We start from the raw sequence: 18808 nt of genomic DNA, 5'->3' as shown, positions 1-18808 counted from the left end.
AAAGACCAAATCTACGTCTGATTGGTGTACCTGAAAGTGATGTGGAGAATGGAACCAAGTTGGAAAACACTCTGCAGGATATTATCCAGGAGAACTTCCCCAATCTAGCAAGGCAGGCCAATGTTCAGATTCAGGAAATACAGAGAACACCACAAAGATACTCCTCGAGAAGGCAACTCCAAGACACATAATTGTCAGATTCACCAAAGTTGAAATGAAGGAAAAAATGTTAAGGGCAGCCAGAGAGAAAGGTCGGGTTACCCTCAAAGGGAAGCCCATCAGACTAACAGCGGATCTCTCGGCAGAAACCCTACAAGCCAGAAGAGAGTGGGGGCCAATATTCAACATTCTTAAAGAAAAGAATTTTCAACCCAGAATTGCATATCCAGCCAAACTAAGCTTCATAAGTGAAGGAGAAATAAAATACTTTACAGACAAGCAAATGCTGAGAGATTTTGTCACCACCAGGCCTGCCCTAAAAGAGCTCCTGAAGGAAGCACTAAACATGGAAAGGAACAACCGGTACCAGCCACTTCAAAATCATGCCAAAATGTAAAGACCATTGAGACTAGGAAGAAACTGCATCAACTAACGAGCAAAATAACCAGCTAACATCATAATGACAGGATCAAATTCACACATAACAATATTATCTTTAAATGTAAATGGACTAAATGCTCCAATTAAAAGACACAGACTGGCAAATTGAATAAAGAGTCAAGACCCATCAGTGTGCTGTATTCAGGAAACCCATCTCACGTGCAGAGACACATAGAGGCTCAAAATAAAAGGATGGAGGAAGATCTACCAAGCCAATGGAAAACAAAAAAAGGCAGGGGTTGCAATCCTAGTCTCTGATAAAACAGACTTTAAACCAACAAAGATCAAAAGAGACAAAGAAGGACATTACATAATGGTAAAGGGATCAATTCAACAAGAAGAGCTAACTATCCTAAATATATATGCACCCAATACAGGAGCACCAAGATTCATAAAGCAAGTCCTGAGTGACCTACAAAGAGACTTAGACTCCCACACATTAATAATGGGAGACTTTAACACCCCACTGTCAACATTAGACAGATCAACGAGACAGAAAGTCAACAAGGATACCCAGGAATTGAACTCAGCTCTGCACCAAACAGACCTAATAGACATCTACAGAACTCTCCACCCCATATCAACAGAATATACATTTTTTTCAGCACCACACCACACCTATTCCAAAATTGACCACATACTGGGAAGTAAAGCTCTCCTCAGCAAATGTAAAAGAACAGAAATTATAACAAACTATCTCTCAGACCACAGTGCAATCAAACTAGAACTCAGGATTAAGAATCTCACTCAAAACCACTCAACTACATGGAAACTGAACAACCTGCTCCTGAATGACTACTGGGTACATAACGAAATGAAGGCAGAAATAAAGATGTTCTTTGAAACCAACGAGAACAAAGACACAACATACCAGAATCTCTGGGACGCATTCAAAGCAGTGTGTAGAGGGAAATTTATAGCACTAAATGCCCACAAGAGAAAGCAGGAAAGATCCAAAATTGACAACCTAACATCACAATTAAAAGAACTAGAAAAGCAGGAGCAAACACATTCAAAAGCTAGCAGAAGGCAAGAAATAACTAAACTCAGAGCAGAACTGAAGGAAACAGAGACACAAAAAACCCTTCAATAAATTAATGAATCCAGGAGCTTGTTTTTTGAAAAGATCAACAAAATTGATAGACCGCTAGCAAGACTAATAAAGAAAAAAAGAGAGAAGAATCAAATAGACGCAATAAAAAATGATAAAGGGGATATCACCACTGATCCCACAGAAATACAAACTACCATCAGAGAATACTACAAACACCTCTATGCAAATAAACTAGAAAATCTAGAAGAAATGGATAAATTCCTCTGCACATAAACTCTCCCAAGACTAAACCAGGAAGAAGTTGAATCTCTGAATAGACCAATAACAGGAGCTGAAATTGTGGCAATAATCAATAGCTTACCAACCAAAAAGAGTACAGGACCAGATGGATTCACAGCCGAATTCTACCAGAGGTATAAGGAGGAACTGGTACCATTCCTTCTGAAACTATTCCAATCAACAGAAAAAGAGGGAATCCTCCCTAACTCATTTTATGAGGCCAGCATCATTCTGATACCAAAGCCAGGCAGAGACACAACAAAAAAAGAGAATTTTAGACCAATATCCTTGATGAACATTGATGCAAAAATCCTCAGTAAAATACTGGCAAAACGAATCCAGCAGCACATCAAAAAGCTTATCCACCATGATCAACTGGGCTTCATCCCTGGGATGCAAGGCTGGTTCAATATACGCAAATCAATAAATGTAATCCAGCATATAAACAGAGCCAAAGACAAAAACCACATGATTATCTCAATAGATGCAGAAAAAAGCCTTTGACAAAATTCAACAACCCTTCATACTAAAAACTCTCAATAAATTAGGCATTGATGGGACGTATTTCAAAATAATAAGAGCTATCTATGACAAACCCACAGCCAATATCATACTGAATGGGCAAAAACTGGAAGCATTCCCTTTGAAAACTGGCACAAGACAGGGATGCCCTCTCTCACCACTCCTATTCAACATAGTGTTGGAAGTTCTGGCCTGGGCAATTAGGCAGGAGAAGGAAATAAAGGGTATTCAATTGGGAAAAGAGGAAGTCAAATTGTCCCTGTTTGCAGACGACATGATTGTATATCTAGAAAACCCCATTGTCTCAAGCCCAAAATCTCCTTAAGCTGACAGGCAACTTCAGCAAAGTCTCAGGATACAAAATCAATGTACAAAAATCACAAGCATTCTTATACACCAACAACAGACAAACAGAGAGCCAAATCATGAGTGAACTCCCATTCACAATTGCTTCAAAGAGAATAAAATACCTAGGAATCCAACTTACAAGGGATGTGAAGGACCTCTTCAAGGAGAACTACAAACCACTGCTCAAGGAAATAAAAGAGGACACAAACAAATGGAAGAACATTCCATGCTCATGGGTAGGAAGAATCAATATCGTGAAAATGGCCATACTGCCCAAGGTAATTTACAGATTCAATGCCATCCCCATCAAGCTACCAATGACTTTCTTCACAGAATTGGAAAAAACTACTTTAAAGTTCATATGGAACCAAAAAAGAGCCCGCATCACCAAGTCAATCCTAAGCCAAAAGAACAAAGCTGGAGGCATCACACTACCTGACTTCAAACTATACTACAAGGCTACAGTAACCAAAACAGCATGGTACTGGTACCAAAACAGAGATATAGATCAATGGAACAGACCAGAGCCCTCAGAAATAACGCCACATATCTACAGCTATCTGATCTTTGACAAACCTGACAAAAACAAGCAATGGGGAAAGGATTCCCTATTTAATAAATGGTGGTGGGAAAACTGGCTAGCCATACGTAGAAAGCTGAAACTGGATCCCTTCCTTACACCTTATACAAAAATCAATTCAAGATGGATTAAAGACTTAAACGTTAGACCTAAAACCATAAAAACCCTAGAAGAAAACCTAGGCATTACCATTCAGGACATAGGCATGGGCAAGGACTTCATGTCTAAAACACCAAAAGCAATGGCAACAAAAGACAAAATTGACAAATGGGATCTAATTAAACTAAAGAGCTTCTGCACAGCAAAAGAAACTACCATCAGAATGAACAGGCAACCTACAAAATGGGAGAAAATTTTTGCAACCTACTCATCTGACAAAGGGCTAATATCCAGAATCTACAATGAACTCAAACAAATTTACAAGAAAAAAACAAACAACCCCATCAAAAAGTGGGCAAAGGACATGAACAGACACTTCTCAAAAGAAGACATTTATGCAGCCAAAAAACACATGAAAAAATGCTCATCATCACTGGCCATCAGAGAAATGCAAATCAAAACCACAATGAGATACCATCTCACACCAGTTAGAATGGCAATCATTAAAAAGTCAGGAAACAACAGGTGCTGGAGAGGATGTGGAGAAATAGGAACACTTTTACACTGTTGGTGGGACTGTAAACTAGTTCAACCATTGTGGAAGTCAGTGTGGCAATTCCTCAGGGATCTAGAACTGGAAATACCATTTGACCCAGCCATCCCATTACTGGGTATATACCCAAAGGACTATAAATCATGCTGCTATAAAGACACATGCACACGTATGTTTATTGCGGCACTATTCACAATAGCAAAGACTTGGAACCAACCCAAATGTCCAACAATGATAGACTGGATTAAGAAAATGTGGCACATATACACCATGGAATACTATGCAGCCATAAAAAATGATGAGTTCATGTCCTTTGTAGGGACATGGATGAAATTGGAAATCATCATTCTCAGTAAACTATCGCAAGAACAAAAAGCAAACACCGCATATTCTCACTCATAGGTGGGAATTGAACAATGAGATTACATGGACACAGGAAGGGGAATATCACACTCTGGGGACTGTTGTGGGGTGGGGGGAGGGGGGAGGGATAGCATTGGGAGATATACCTAATGCTAGATGACGAGTTAGTGGGTGCAGTGCACCAGCATGGCACATGTATACATATGTAACTAACCTGCACAATGTGCACATGTACCCTAAAACTTAAAGTATAATAAAAAAAAATTAAAAAAAAATAAAATAAAAATGTAAATATGAAAAAAAAAAGACATTTCCTGCAGAAACTCAGCCAGAAAGAATTATGGCGAAGTATAATTACAAATTAATAAAGTCAATGATTCATGCTATAGTTACTCAGCTTTGGAGAGAAAGCATACATTCTTGTTTAAGCAGGGAAATGTGTCTAAATGACTGATAAATAGCTTAAGACAGTATATATGGATTTTCTATCTAGTGTAAATAAGCTTCTTAAAAACAAGTTCCAAGATTGTTTATCCTTTCCAGCCTGGTTTGAAGGACACATGTTGAGTGTATTTCATCCCAAAGCTCCTGTGATTGAGGCGGCTTTGAAATTGTTAGAAGTAGAATTCCTGGGCATCATTTTGGGAGCAGGGCTGGACAGCAGTAAACCTGGAGCATGTCCAGGTTCCAAACCTGACTACCATTTCTAAGCTGTGTGATCTTAGGCAAACAGGTAATTCTCTAAGCCCCGTGTGGCTTCATATGTAAAACAGAAATAATAATTTTGTTACACAACTGCTTTAAGGGTTAAATGAGATAATAGTGACTGGCACACTGTAAGCATTAACTAAATGTTAATCATTATTACTACAGGGTCTCCTCCCAACATCCCTCTTACAGGAACAAAGAAATCCTTTACTTTCAACAGCAATACCAAAGAGAATGGTAGCTCATTTTTTCTAAACCTTACTATGATGCAGAAGGTATTTATTTCCATCATCTTTTTAATCTAAGAACCCAGCAGAGAAAAGCCTCTGAGTGCTGCCCTTGATAATTCATGAGAGGAGGGTGGGAGGAACTTACTGCCAGCCTCCATGAAAGCCTCAGGAAGGTATGTGAAGCCACTTTCTTGTTCCAGAGGGTTCCCACAGCTAGCATGCTCACCAGGGCGCTGGAGGTTGATTATTGTTTTTATGCCATGGCTTAAAGGAAAAAGGGCAGTCAGTCATATTGGGAGCTAGCATTTAAAAAAAATTAACCATTTTTGGTATTAATCAACATTATTAATTACTCTCAAAAATCTTAATTTCTCATTTGAAATACACTCTTCACTGCCTATTGTTAAAATGAAAGCACTCTTTCACTTGAAACAAAGGCAATGAAAGAAAAAAACACATGAGTTTGCTCACTCGTGTGTGAACAATACAGCATTTACCTGAGGAACTGATCAATGATGTGGTACTTCTCCAGGAGCTCAGAGGATGGGCGGGCCATGGCCAGTATATTATCAGTGACCCTGCAAATAGGTGGAGGGACTGGTGAGATGTGCTGAAACCTAGGAAGTTCCAGTCCAAAGAGATGTTCCAGTCCTGAGAGATGATTTTTTCTATGATTTCAACAACTCTGTTAGAATATTCTTTTTTGTGTATAAATTTTATTTGAACAGATAATACAGTTTCATGGTTCAATAAAATCAAAACAATACAAAAAGGTATGCACTAAAATGTTTGCTCTCAACCGTTTTCATCCACTCCATTCAGTTTGTTCCCCATATGTAATCATTTGTATTAACTTCATGTTTACCATCTTAGTGTTTATTTTTGCAAATATAAGCAAATATGAATATTTATTCTTATTTATCTGCTTTTTCTTGTACAAAAGGTAGTCTAGTAAAGGCACTGTTAGATACTTTGCTTTTTTTCTCTTTAGGTTAATTTTTAAAATTTCAATAGTTTTTGGGGTACAGATTATTTCAGGTTACATAGATGAGTTATTTAGTGGTGAATTTTGAGATTTTGGTGCACCCGTGTAAGAATATTCTTATACAAATCTGGCTTCAATTTTGGATGATTAGAGCTCTAAGAAACTCTAGCTTCTTAAATCCCTGGAAAAAATTCCAAGACATAAATTATTTGTGGATTCCAGCAAAGTATTTTCAAGAACTCTCAAGAGATTTTAGTGGACATGATGGAGAAAACTCAGCTGGTGGTGAAGGTAACAGTCTGGATTGTTACTCAATGGGTAGTGACTTACATGAGGAGGGCCAACTGGGAGATATTTTGTTATTCAACTATCTGAATCTTAGTTACAAGGTGTTAAATGGGGATAATAATGCCTGTCTCACAGGGTTGGTGTGAGAATTCAATATGATGTGGATGTAAAGTCTTTGGCACAAATCCTGACATGCAGTTATGAATAAATACTGAGTTACTGTAATTTGGTGACAAATATGGGCTCCAGAGTCAGTTGGGCTTGGTTTCAAATGCTGGCTCTTCTACTTTCTAGCTTGGTAGCAAATTACTTGGTCTCTCTGGAACTCAATTCTTTCATTGATAAAATGGCATTAACAGCTCACAAGAGTTTTATGAAGATAAAAGATAATAGTATGAAAGCATCTAGCACACTGACTGGCCTACAGCCAAATGGATATTTACTGAATGAATGAGTGGGCAGACGCCCAATAAATGACTATTACTCTTGTCAGGCCTCTGGGCTCTGGCTTCACTCTGTTCTGTTCAAATTTCTCATCAGTGGCCTGATGAGATATATAAGGTAAGTCTGTTGGAAGTCGTGGGTCACATGAATCTCAGGGGAATAACAGAGACTGTCAGGGCAGGATCCAAAATGACACCTTTCCCTCTGAAAGAAGGCATATGGTTTAACATGGGACCCAAAAGTTTGGACCCCCAGTGATAATTAGTGTAAGATGAAGGGGGATGTAACGTGAAAGCAGCAGAGGTGAAAAAGACTCACATGATTTAGTCAGCAATAAAGCAAAAATATGCAAATGACCTAAGCTACATTATTAGAAATTTTCTTGTCTGACTATGAATGTTTCCTTCTTCATACTATTAGTATGATAGTGATGGACCAGAATATGACCTGTGGTGAACAATAATGACAGTGGACCCCAGACTATATCACTACAGATGTACTGAGCAAATCCAATATGAAAAAGTACAGGTTGTAAGCTGGATAAGCCAGTTGACAAATATCTAATTGAAAAATGGGTTCTTGATGTATAAAATAATTCACTACTAGAATTAAACAGTGAATTCCTCTAAGTATGCTTCAAATGTGATTTATCAGAATTTTTCAGATGTTACTACATCAAAAAGGTGTATTTGACTAGTTTACTGTTTAATAAAAAGCAGTATGATTAAAGAACAATATTAATTTCACTTATACACCATAAAAAAAGCAAATATCTTATGTTTTCTACTGAGCTGACAACTTGTACCACTTTTATTAGGGTAGACTGAAGGGTATTTGTATGAAAATGTGACCTTTCATATAGAATATAGGAATAACATAAAAGCTAAAGCTTACCTACATGAAACTGAAAAATTACACATGTACATCATAATTTTCTCAAATTTATAGCTGAAGTTTTATTATTTCTAAACATTTCTGAAATTTAAGAGCTATCTAATTATCCATTTCTTCAATACACTTTATATATATCATTTCACTTAATTAAAAAACCCTATGGTTTTGGTTTTATTATTTCCACCTTACAGATAAAGAAACTGAGGGTCAATAGGCCAAGATCACACAGCTAAGGCAAAGCCAGAACTGACTGGCAAAGTGAGGTCCTGACTTCAAAGTCCCACACTGCTCCTCCCACACTTCAGGGCTCCTGGCTCACACAGAGTGTCCTTCCTGTATCCAACAGAGCTATGAAAGACCAACAGGATCACTCACCAGGATGAGTAAACCCCCTTAATGGCTTGCTCCTGCTCACTCCAGCGGGCTGGGTTCTCATACTTGCAAGCTCTACCGCCACACGCCATGGAACATGCCATGTGTCCAGGAATGACATGCCGTAAACGCTCCCCTACTTTTGTGTACTTTGGTGTTGGACGTTCTAAATTTCCTAGAACATATAAGGAAAGGAAAATTCAAAATTCCACTCTCCAAATGAAATTGTAACATGGGAAATAGCTTCCATTTTATCTCAGGATGGTAGATGACAAGCCAGTGCAAAATCACCTTCATCTTGTCAAGAAAACAAAACTGTTTCCCTGTCAAAGTGACATATATCTCTTAATGTAAAAAAGCTTTCACATATAATAATCTCCACACATACTGGCAATTAGGAGGAAGAAACTGTAGAAGCAGATGTTTTACAAGAGAATGAGTTTTGTTCAAACCTATATTTTTAATAAAAAAACACAAAACATTTGATCATTTTATATCCTCTTATATATTCACTAAAATAGCATAACAGACAGCAAAAAGTATAATATAGAATAAACTGCCAATATTTAAAAAGGTATAAACACAACACAGCTGATTCCCATTCCTCAAACTTATATACATAGGTATGGCAATCTATAAGAAGAAAGAGACCTTTACTTTTTCTTTCGGGGAAAGTTGGGTTTCCCTCTGCATGGCTGACTGAGGAAACAGCCACCATCACCTGGAGAGAGGACGAGGACAGCAGCTTCGTGGCAGAGCCGGAGCCCAAGCCAGAGCCCCGCCGGGCCTGCTGCAGCCGCAGTACTGGGTCTGAGGTGGAGTGCCGGCGGCCCTGGAGAAAGGAGCTGAGGAAGCGCACGGCTGAGGGCCGCCTGGTTGCATCCTGCACCTGCATGGCACTGGGAGGCAAGAGCCGGAGGCAGGAAGAGTCAGCCCCACTCACTCAGTGAGGAACTTTCACTGAGAGCAGGGAGCATTGCATCGTTCTGTATGATCTAAGAGCCATTCAGATTGGCTGACTGGTTTCCATGGCGACAAACAAAGAAACTACTGATTCCCACTTAGATCTGAACAGGCAAAATCCAATATGAACAGATTGCATTTTGGACAAATTGTTCAAATATAGGGAAGAATAATATAAATTTTAAATATATTGATTACTAAATTTTGTTTCTCAAATGCACTTAAAATATCTAACCAAAGAATTACTCCCCAAAATACTGTAGTGAATTTAGAAAACTGTCTTCCTGATGCAAAAACTGCCTTTTACATACATGTTAAAAGGCTTAAATTCTGTTATTCTGTTCACAACCTGTCTCTGGATATTTTGAAAAAAATTACCTTTCTACTCCTCGTTTGAATAGTGCAGAAAAAAGTTAATTGTAATAAAGTGGGATATGCTGGACACCTTACAAGATTATTAAAATATCATCCAATTTTTCATAACCAAAACCACTTCTATTTTTTCTTGGTAAAACTATTAAAGAAATACTTGGATAGAACAAATAAAGACATTTTTAGAGGTGATATATTATCAGAAGACATTTAACTTCATGTGTTCATTTTCAGAATATAAAAACCCAATTCTTAGTTATGCCTCTGTTGGACAGTTATAGTAGCCATGCCTCTCAAAAACTCAAAACACCATTCTCTGCCTTTTGTTGCAGTGAGGGAAAAAAGAAGCTTCAATAATGTCTTGGCAGAGGCATACAAAGAAAGATCACTAAATATCACATTTTTAAAGGAACTAGATGAGGGGGAGGTTGCAACTTGAAGATAAAGGATATAAAGAAAACAGAAAGTGCAACAACCACTAATGTACTCATTGTCCGCCTCCTCCCTTGTTAATGTCAGGCTGCGCCCTCGCTTGCTCGCTAGCTCTCTGCACAAGTGGTATTTCAGATGTGTGTGCACAGAAACAAACTACTGTACTGCTACAGATAAGGCTATTTTCTATTTTTTTTTTTTTAACGATTACTAATGCTATACCAAGCTCCTTTTAAAATGCCGCCCCCATCTCCCCAGTAATGTGCACTTTTGTCGAATAAGACAGGGACACAGAATCCCGATTTGGTGTCCAAATTCCTACTCTATGTATAGTATCATGCCTTTGTTATTTAGAATGCAGCCATGGAAGAAAGCACAGCTTTCCTGTCGGAGGAATTATATGAGGATTATTCTAGGCAAGGCCCTCAGGACCCTAAGGGCAACACAGAAACAGCAGTTGCACAGAGGTCTGCATGACAAGAACATGAACTTACTGGCAGGAGGCCCTAAATGCTCAAACTAAGGAGCTGTGTATTTGCTATCTGTGTAAGAGGGAGTCTAAGAAGATTTCTGGGCAAGTCTGTGCTTCTGAGTATGTGGCACTCCAGAATGTTAACTTAGCTCTTGAGAAACAAGAGTGGTGAGCTCTGCAGAAACAAGTCCATGGCCTGGAGAACCAGCATCTGAGGACATCTACAGAGAAAAGTCAAAAGTAACTGCTTTCAACTACACTAAAAATGACAACTAATTTCATTAGATAAGGGGTAGGGGTAGGACTTATTTGGACCAAGCTAAGGAAGGGATGGTTTATAGATCACCTCAAGAATAATCTCTGTGGTGAAATCTTGAGCCCTGGGTTGACCTCAAATAAACACAAAATGACTGAGCTTACCCCAGTTACCGTACAGTCAGTGACCCTGTGTCAATGTCTAAGGAAGTCAAGCCTAACGCAAACAGGATTCTGCAAGGTGAAAGCAGCCCTTTCTGCATGCTTGCTCAGTGTTCCCAACAATGAGGTGCTGTGAATATACCTTGCATTGATGAGGCAGATGAAAAGAAATGTACCCACCTCTGGACACGAGAACCAAATTTAGAATAATATTTAAGGAACAAAATGAGATACTGATCATGACAAATATGAAATCAGTTACAATAAACACAACAAAGAAACCCACTAAAATGTACCAGTGAGTACTGAGTCTTTTCTTCCTTAATTTCTATAAGTGGGCAGGTAAAACACTGAAAAGTGAGATCTAGAACACCAAGAACTAGTAATTTCCTTCTATACTCAAGATTTCAGAAAGGGATCATTGCTTCCTAAAGTCATAGAACAATAGGCTGAGAATGCAGTGGGTGCCTGGTGGGCGTGGGAGGCCCACCTATCCGCATTCTTAAGTCCACGGAGGAGTTACTTCCAGGAATTTGCTGTACAGCTGAATTTCCAGCCTCGTGTTCTCTACTTTTTGTGACAAGAGGCTCACTTTTCACAAGGGAACTGACTATTCCACTGTTAGACAGCTCAAATGTTTTCTTTCCTTCCTTCTTTAGAGATGGGAATCTCACTTTGTTGCTTAGGCTGCACTCAAATTTTTGGGCTCGAGGGCTCCTCCTGCCTCAGCCTCTTGAGTAGCTGGGACTACAGATGCCTGCCAACACGCTGGGCTTCAAATGTTCTCTAGTGTTGAGTTAAAATCCATTCTATAAACATCGGTTCTGGTTCTTCCCACTGAAAATAAAGAATAAAGCTTCTCTTTGTCTTGAAAGATTTTCAAATATCCGAAGACAGAACTTTTCCAAGACTTTCCCTATTTCTGTTTTTCAAACATTCCTAGGTATATGTAATTGTTTCCAGATCTTTCACTATAATTTCCCTTCTTCTGAGGGCCCTTCTTCTCTCCCCTTCATAGCTAAACCTCCAAACCAAGGTGACTACACCTGCCATCTCCACGTGTCACAGGTCTCATCCTTAGCCTACTCAGCTCTGGCCTCTGCCTCCACTCTCAAATCAAACCACTCTTGCTAAGGCCTCCGATGATCTGTTTTGAGGTGGACTTTTTAGAGTTTCTATTTGACTGTGCAGCAGCATGCAACACAATCGAACACTTTAGTTTTAATTTTTAATTTTTTTTTAAAGACAGCACCTTGCTCTGTCACACAGGCTAGAGAGCAGTGACGTGATCATAGCTCACTGCAGCCTTGAATTCCTAGGCTCAAACAATCTTCCTGCCTCAGCCTCTCTGGTAGCCAATATGACAGGTGCCTGCCACCATGCCTGGCCCATATATTTTTGAGAATATTTTATATTTTTACTTTGAATCAATGTCAAACTTACAGAAAAGTTACAAAAGTTACAAATAATATTTTTCCTTGGCTGGGCATGGTGGCTCATGCCTGTAATCCCAGCACTTTGGGAGGCTGAGGAGGGCAGATCACCTGAGGTCAGTAGTTAGAAACCCACCTGGCCAACATGGTGAAACCCAGTCTCTACTAAAAATACAAAAATGGGCTGGGTGTAGTGGCGCATGCCTGTAGTACCAGCTACTTGGAAGGCTGAGGCAGGAGAATTGCTTGCACCTGGAAGGCAGAGGTTGCAGTGAGCTGAGATTGCACCACTGCACTCTAGTCTGGGTGACAGAGCGGGACTGTCTCAAAAAAAAAAAAAAAGAAAAAGAAAAAGAAAAAAAGAATATTTTCCCTTGAATTTTTTAGAGTAACTTGCAGAAATGCTGCCCCATTACGCCAAATAATTTAGTGTATATTTCCCACAAAGATATTCTTGAAAATTACCCCAAATCAGGAAATTATGGTTGAGATATTACTACTTGCCCTCTATTCCTCAGACCTCATTCAAGCTTCACTGATTACTCCAAAAATGTTCCTTACAGTAAAACGACATGTTGTATTTAGTTGTCCTGTTTCTTTCACCTATTTCACACTTGAACAAGTTCCTCAGTCTTTCCTTGACTTTGATGACCTTGACACTTTTGAAGAGTATAGGCCAGTTATTTTGTAGCAATCTCTCTCAATTTGGGCATGCAGTTTCCTCATGATTAGACTCGGAAGCCCTTGCATTTATTAGTAAAGAACGGTATCTAGAAACCAATGTCTGTGTGTTAGGTATGCTCATTGCCATTAGAGTGTTACTGCTGCCAGGCCCTCTCAGTGGACAGTGCTAAAGAATATGGATATTATGCACAGGCACATACATTATCACACTTTACATCTATATTTATTCCCATATGTAGGCATATATACATATGGAAAACCAAGAGTTTACCCTGATGCTACCAATTCCAAGCCAACACCACAGAGTTCCTCTAATTTCCACCCTTTCCACAACTGTACCTATAATTATAACTCTGTGAGAAGCCTGGGCACAGTAATCTTTAATATATTTACCTAATTGACCAAGCCCCCTACATGTAACCAGTCTCCCATCACTACCTCTGCTCCCTCCTCCATGTGGATGCCTCTCTCATCCCATCTGGGCTTTAACACCTATGCCAAGCTGCTGCTGCCACCCACCTGGGTAGATGCTCTCCTCATCCTGCCTATGTTCCAATATTCCATGTAGGGTCACCCTGCCACATGGAGCCCTCCCAACCTGACCCAAGCTCTGATGCCTGGGAATGTTCTAATAACCTGGGCCAGGTCACTCTCCCACACAGGTGTTATCTGGCTCAGGCTTCGCCACTGCTGGGCTGCTCTCCCATATGGATTTCCTCCTCACCCTGGCTGGCTTCTCCCAAGTGCCCCTGCTCCACCTCATCTGTAGGTCAAAGATTCCACACTTAGGCAAGCCAAGAAGACCAGAAGCTATCATTCCTGCTCACCTTGCAAAGTAGGGGGATCACTCAGAGAAGTGGGCTGTTGTCCCCGCCTCAAGCTCCAGAGACATGGCTAGTAGACTTCAGCCAGAAGGAGAAGCAGGCCTTAAAAACAGAGAATTCTGAAGCTCTCCCCCTACAAAACTATCTTTATCTGAAACACAGCATGGGAAAGTTCAAGCTTTCAAAAACAATGGAGGTTTTGGTTAAGCAGTTATTAATAAGAGTAACCTCATAGCTTCATGAGACCAATAAGCTGAACTGTAGTCACACTAGTTTGCCAGAGAGAACCAAGGAAAGAGACAACTAAGTCCTCTCATGGAGCATGATCAAACCTCAAGACTGACCTCAAAAACAGCCACCACCCAAACTTAATTAGATCAGATTGTAGGGCAACAGATGACCCAGGGCTTTGTCAAAAACAACAGAATGATCAGCAGGTAATTAGTGGAACCCAACAGCTGGTGTGCTAACAACTGAGGGAGACAGCCTAACAGAGACATTCGTGGAAGAGGGAAAGAGTGCCCTGCTAAAAAAAAACCACTGTCTTCTCAGGGTGACTGCGTTTGCTTGACCAAGGCCATGCCCTCTTAGGAGTCACATCAGAGGCTTCAAACTATGAAGAAAAAAAGACTAGTCCATCACTAAGATGATCTAGTCAAGTCTCTGATCAAATAGACAGGCAAATAACAACAAAAACAAGTCCGGGGAGGGAAGAGTATCTAGAGGTGCTAAAAAATATTACCTAAAATGTCCAGTTTTCAACAAAAAGTATGAGACATGGAAAGAAAGAAAAAAGTATGACCTATACACAGAAAAAAGTGTAGTCAATAGACACTATCTGTTAGAGAGGCCAGGCATCTGATATACCAAAGCCTTCAAAGCAGCCATTACAAATATATTCAAAGTCCTAAAGGAACCCATGTTTAAAGAAGTAAAAGAAGCTATGATGACAATGTTTCTTTCATCAGATACAGAATACCAATAAAGAGATGGGAATTTTAAAAAGGAAGCAAATGGAAATTCAGAAGTTAAAAAGTACAAAAACAATGAAAAATTCACTCAAGCAGCTCAACAGAGGATCTGAAGTGGCAGAAGGAAGAATTAGAGAACCTGAAGATAAGACTGATAGAGATTATGCACTCTGAAAAACACAGAGAATAAAAAATGAAAAAATGAACAAAGCCTCACAGAAATGTGGAATACCATTAAGTGAACCAACATATACCCTACTATAAGTGAACAGAAAGAGAGTTGAGAGAGGAGTAGAAAAAACTTTTAGAAATAATGGCTTAAAGCTTCCCAAATCTGATGAAAAACATTAATCCACACATCCAAGAAGTTCAAAAAACTCTAAGTAGGATACATACAAATAGATCCACATTAAAACACATCACAGTAAAAATGCTCAAATAGAAAAATGACTCCTTGTGTACAAAGAAACCTCAAAAAGATTAAGTTTACTTCTCATCAGAAACCATGGAGACCAGAAAGTAGAGGAACGACATATTCAAAGTGCTAAATATTAAGCTGTCAATCAAGAATCTTACATGCAGCAAGATTTCTGTCAAAAATGAAGGGGAAATAAAGGAATTCCCAGGTAAACAAAAAGCAGAGAATTTGTTGCTAGCAGACTTAGCGTGTAAGAAATATAAAGGAGGTTCTTCAGATTAAAAGCAAGTTACCCAAGACTAATGTGAATCCATGTGAAAGAAAGGACACTGGCAAATTAGAAGAGACAGTATGTATTTATATGAAATGTCCCAAGGAGGCAAATTGACAGGGACAGAAAGTAGATTAGTGTTTGCCAGGGGGACTAGGGTGAAAGTGGAATGGGAACTGACTGTTGGGATACTGTGAAATACATATTTGGTCTTGGTCCCTGTTTCTTGGCATACAATTCCTGAAATCCTTGGAATCTCCAAGGTGATATCTTTTTGTATGTTAATGAGTTGACTAGTGGCTGTCAGTCCCTCTGTAGCTTCAGGATGGGGGCTAGCCATTGGAAAGACCAAGGTAGGATTACAGCGTTGGGACTTTCAGCACCAAATCCAGCTTCTGGGGAGGGGAGAGGGCTGAAGGTTAAGTTGATCAACAATGGCCAGTGGTTTAGTCAATCATGCCATGTGATGAAGCCTTAATAAAAGCTTAGGATAGGGTTCAAAGAGCTGAGAACATGGAGGTTGCTGGAGGGTGGCACACTTGGGGTCAGCATGGATGCTCTGTGCCTCTTCCACCATATGTCACCCTTATGCATCTCTTCATCTCCATCCTTTGTAACAGCCTTTATAATAAATTGGTAAATGTGTTTCCTAGAGTACTGTTAGCCACTATAGCAAATTAATGAAATCCAAAGAGAGGGGTGTGGGAACCCCAATTTATAGCCAGTCAGTCAGAAGCACAGGTTAAACAAGCTGGGGCTTGTGACTGGCATCAGAAGTAGGAGGCAATCTTATAAGACTTAGCCCTCAACCTGTTGGATCTGACACTATCTCTAGGTAGATAATGTCAGAATTAAATTGGAGGACACCCATCTGGAGTCCCCTGCAGAATTTATTGCTTGTTTGGTGTGTGGAAAAAACCCCGCACATCTGGTGTCAGAAACATGTTATGAGAGTGTAGCAGGATAAACTGAGTTTGCTTATTATTCTGTATTCTCAAGTGCTAATTGGTAGAACATTTCTTTTTGGTCTGATGAAAATAGTCTGGATTTAAATAGTGTTGATGACTGCACAGCCTTAAGTATATACTAAAAACCAATGACTACTTTAAAAGGTTCAATTTTATGGTATGTGACTTATATCTCAATAATTTAAAAAGGGCAAATAATTTGAGTGGGCATTTCTCCAAAAAAGATGTAGAAAGTTTCAATAAATACATGAAAAGATGCTCAACATCACTAGTCATTAGGGAAATGCATATTAAAATCACAATGAAATATCACTTCATACCTACTAGGATGGCTACAATCAAATGCCCGACAATAATAAGTATCAATGGGGATGTAAAAAAAAATGAGAGCCCTTATCTACTGCTGGTGGGTAAATAAAATGAAGCAAACACTTTGGAAAATGGTCTGGCAGTTCCTCAAATGATTAAACAGAGTTACCATATGACCCAGTTCTTTCCTCCTAGGTAAATACCCAAGAAAAATGAAAACATATGTCCACACAAAAACTCAGGTTTTATTATTACTCATAATAGCCAAAAAGTGAAAAGAGTCCAAATGCCCATCAGGGGAATGGATAAATGGAATGTGTAGATAAATAAATATCTACACAATGGAAAATTATTCAACCATAAAAAGGAAGCAGCACTGACGCATGCTACAACATGGATGAACCTTGAAAACATTATGCTAAGTGAAAAAAGCCAATCACAAAAGACCACATATTTATATGGTTCCATTTATATGAAATGTCCAGAAAAAATGAAATCTATAGAGACAGAAAGTAGTCTGGTGGCTCCTTGGGCCAGTGGGGAGGGAAACAACAAATGGCAGCTGGTGCTTGCTAAAGAGTACAAAGTGGCCAGGCGTAGTGGGTCACGCCTGTAATCCCAGCACTTTGGGAGGCTGAGGCAGGTGGATTACCTGAGGCCGGGAGTTAGAGACCAGCCAGCCTGACCAACATGGTGAAACCCTGTCTCCATGAAAAATACAAAATTAGCTGGGTGCGGTAGCATGCGCTTGTAATCCCAGCTACTTGAGAGGCTGAGGCAGAAGAATTGCTTGAAAACTGGGAGACAGAGGTTGCAGTGAGCCAAGATCATGCCACTGCACTGCAGCCTGGGCAACAAGAGCGAAACTCCGTCTCAAAAAAACAAACAAACAAACAAAACACACACACACACCAAAACAAAAAAGCACAAGGTTTCTTTTTGGGGTGATAATAATCTTCCAAAACTGACTTTGTGTTGGTTACATAGCTCTTTGAATGTTCTAAAAACACTGGATTGGTACTTTAAATGGGTGAATTATTGATAATTATACCTCAAAAAAGTTAAAGGAAATTCTCCCTTTCTCCCTCCTTCCTGCTCTCCTTTCCTTAATAAAGCAAAAAGCTACTAGGCAGACTTCTGTTTCTGTCCAAGTAGAGTTGCCCCATTCCTCATCCTTACGTCTTAGAAACTCTGGACACAATAGAACAGATAAACATAGGAAGACTCTGAGAGTGAGAGACTGTCTAAGGACCTCAGGACTTGAGGAACAGTATGGCTGTGAGCTACCTGGGATTCTTTATTGCCTCCAGTATATCCCCAATAGGGTGCTGCAGAAGCCTTCAACCCAGAACAAGCTATAAGAAAAGCCTGTCCCCCTTTGCCAAAGGTCTGTGGAATATGTGACCTAACGACTGAATATATTTTTGGCAATACCCACGCTACTCCAGTTAAAAATGCCACATCATCTTCCAACCCCCAGTTTCAGAGAGGATGGAGAGGGAGCTGATCATCTATCAAATACTCCTGCTCTGCAGAAGTGGAATCAATCTACTTCTCCCATCAGGTGGTGTCGGAGAGATAAACATGGATCTCATCTTCTACTGTGTCTAGAAGGACCATGTGGTGCTCTGATTCCCCCACTGGGTGGTTTTGGGGCTGATCAGGGAGCTAATTTTCCATACCCCAATTGGAAGAAGCAGGTGGCACTCTGATTCCCCTGCTGGGTGGTGGTGGTGACCTGAGCAGAAAGATGATTCCCCCCATCAGATAGAAATGGGCAGTGCTGCAGTTCCTCTGCCAGGGTGGTGTCATTGGGGTCTATCTGTGAGCTGTGCCTCATCCAGCAGTAACCAGTCTTAACAGGGTGGTTTGAAGTGGGATTAGTCAATACCAGGCTCACCACCTGCCTCTACGTAAGTGGGACCCAGTGGAGACCTGAACCTTCGTTCTCATCC

At 39.9% G+C, this 18808-nt stretch overlaps 1 protein-coding gene across 4 annotated transcripts in view, besides 1 other annotated feature; it reads right to left on the bottom strand.

Annotated features, from left to right (window-relative positions):
• PTPDC1 (protein tyrosine phosphatase domain containing 1) overlaps positions 1-18808 on the bottom strand; it is a 79044-nt gene that overhangs the window by 16112 nt on the left and 44124 nt on the right. For 2 of the 4 annotated variants that reach the window (NM_177995.3, NM_001253830.2), the window contains exons 3-5: positions 8323-8494; positions 5834-5914; positions 5482-5600 (exon numbers count right to left, since the gene is read on the bottom strand). In NM_177995.3, coding sequence (NP_818931.1) covers positions 5482-5600; positions 5834-5914; positions 8323-8494 — 372 coding nt within the window. Of the gene's footprint in view, positions 1-5481; positions 5601-5833; positions 5915-8322; positions 8495-8970; positions 9317-18808 lie in introns of those variants that run through there. The other 2 variants (NM_152422.4, NM_001253829.2) reach the window with 2 other exon arrangements.
• Positions 9064-9358: a silencer, noted in NCBI's record as "tiled region #768; K562 Repressive non-DNase unmatched - State 6:EnhF". NCBI's record gives its function as "represses a minimal TATA promoter and a strong SV40 promoter by Sharpr-MPRA in K562 cells {active_cell/tissue: K562}" and the evidence as "EXISTENCE:reporter gene assay evidence [ECO:0000049][PMID:27701403]".

This window comes from Homo sapiens, chromosome 9 (genome assembly GCF_000001405.40).
Source record: "Homo sapiens chromosome 9, GRCh38.p14 Primary Assembly".
Taxonomy (NCBI): domain Eukaryota; kingdom Metazoa; phylum Chordata; class Mammalia; order Primates; family Hominidae; genus Homo; species Homo sapiens.
The sequence above is the reverse complement of the archived record's forward strand: the minus strand, read 5'-3'. Positions and strand labels throughout refer to the sequence as shown.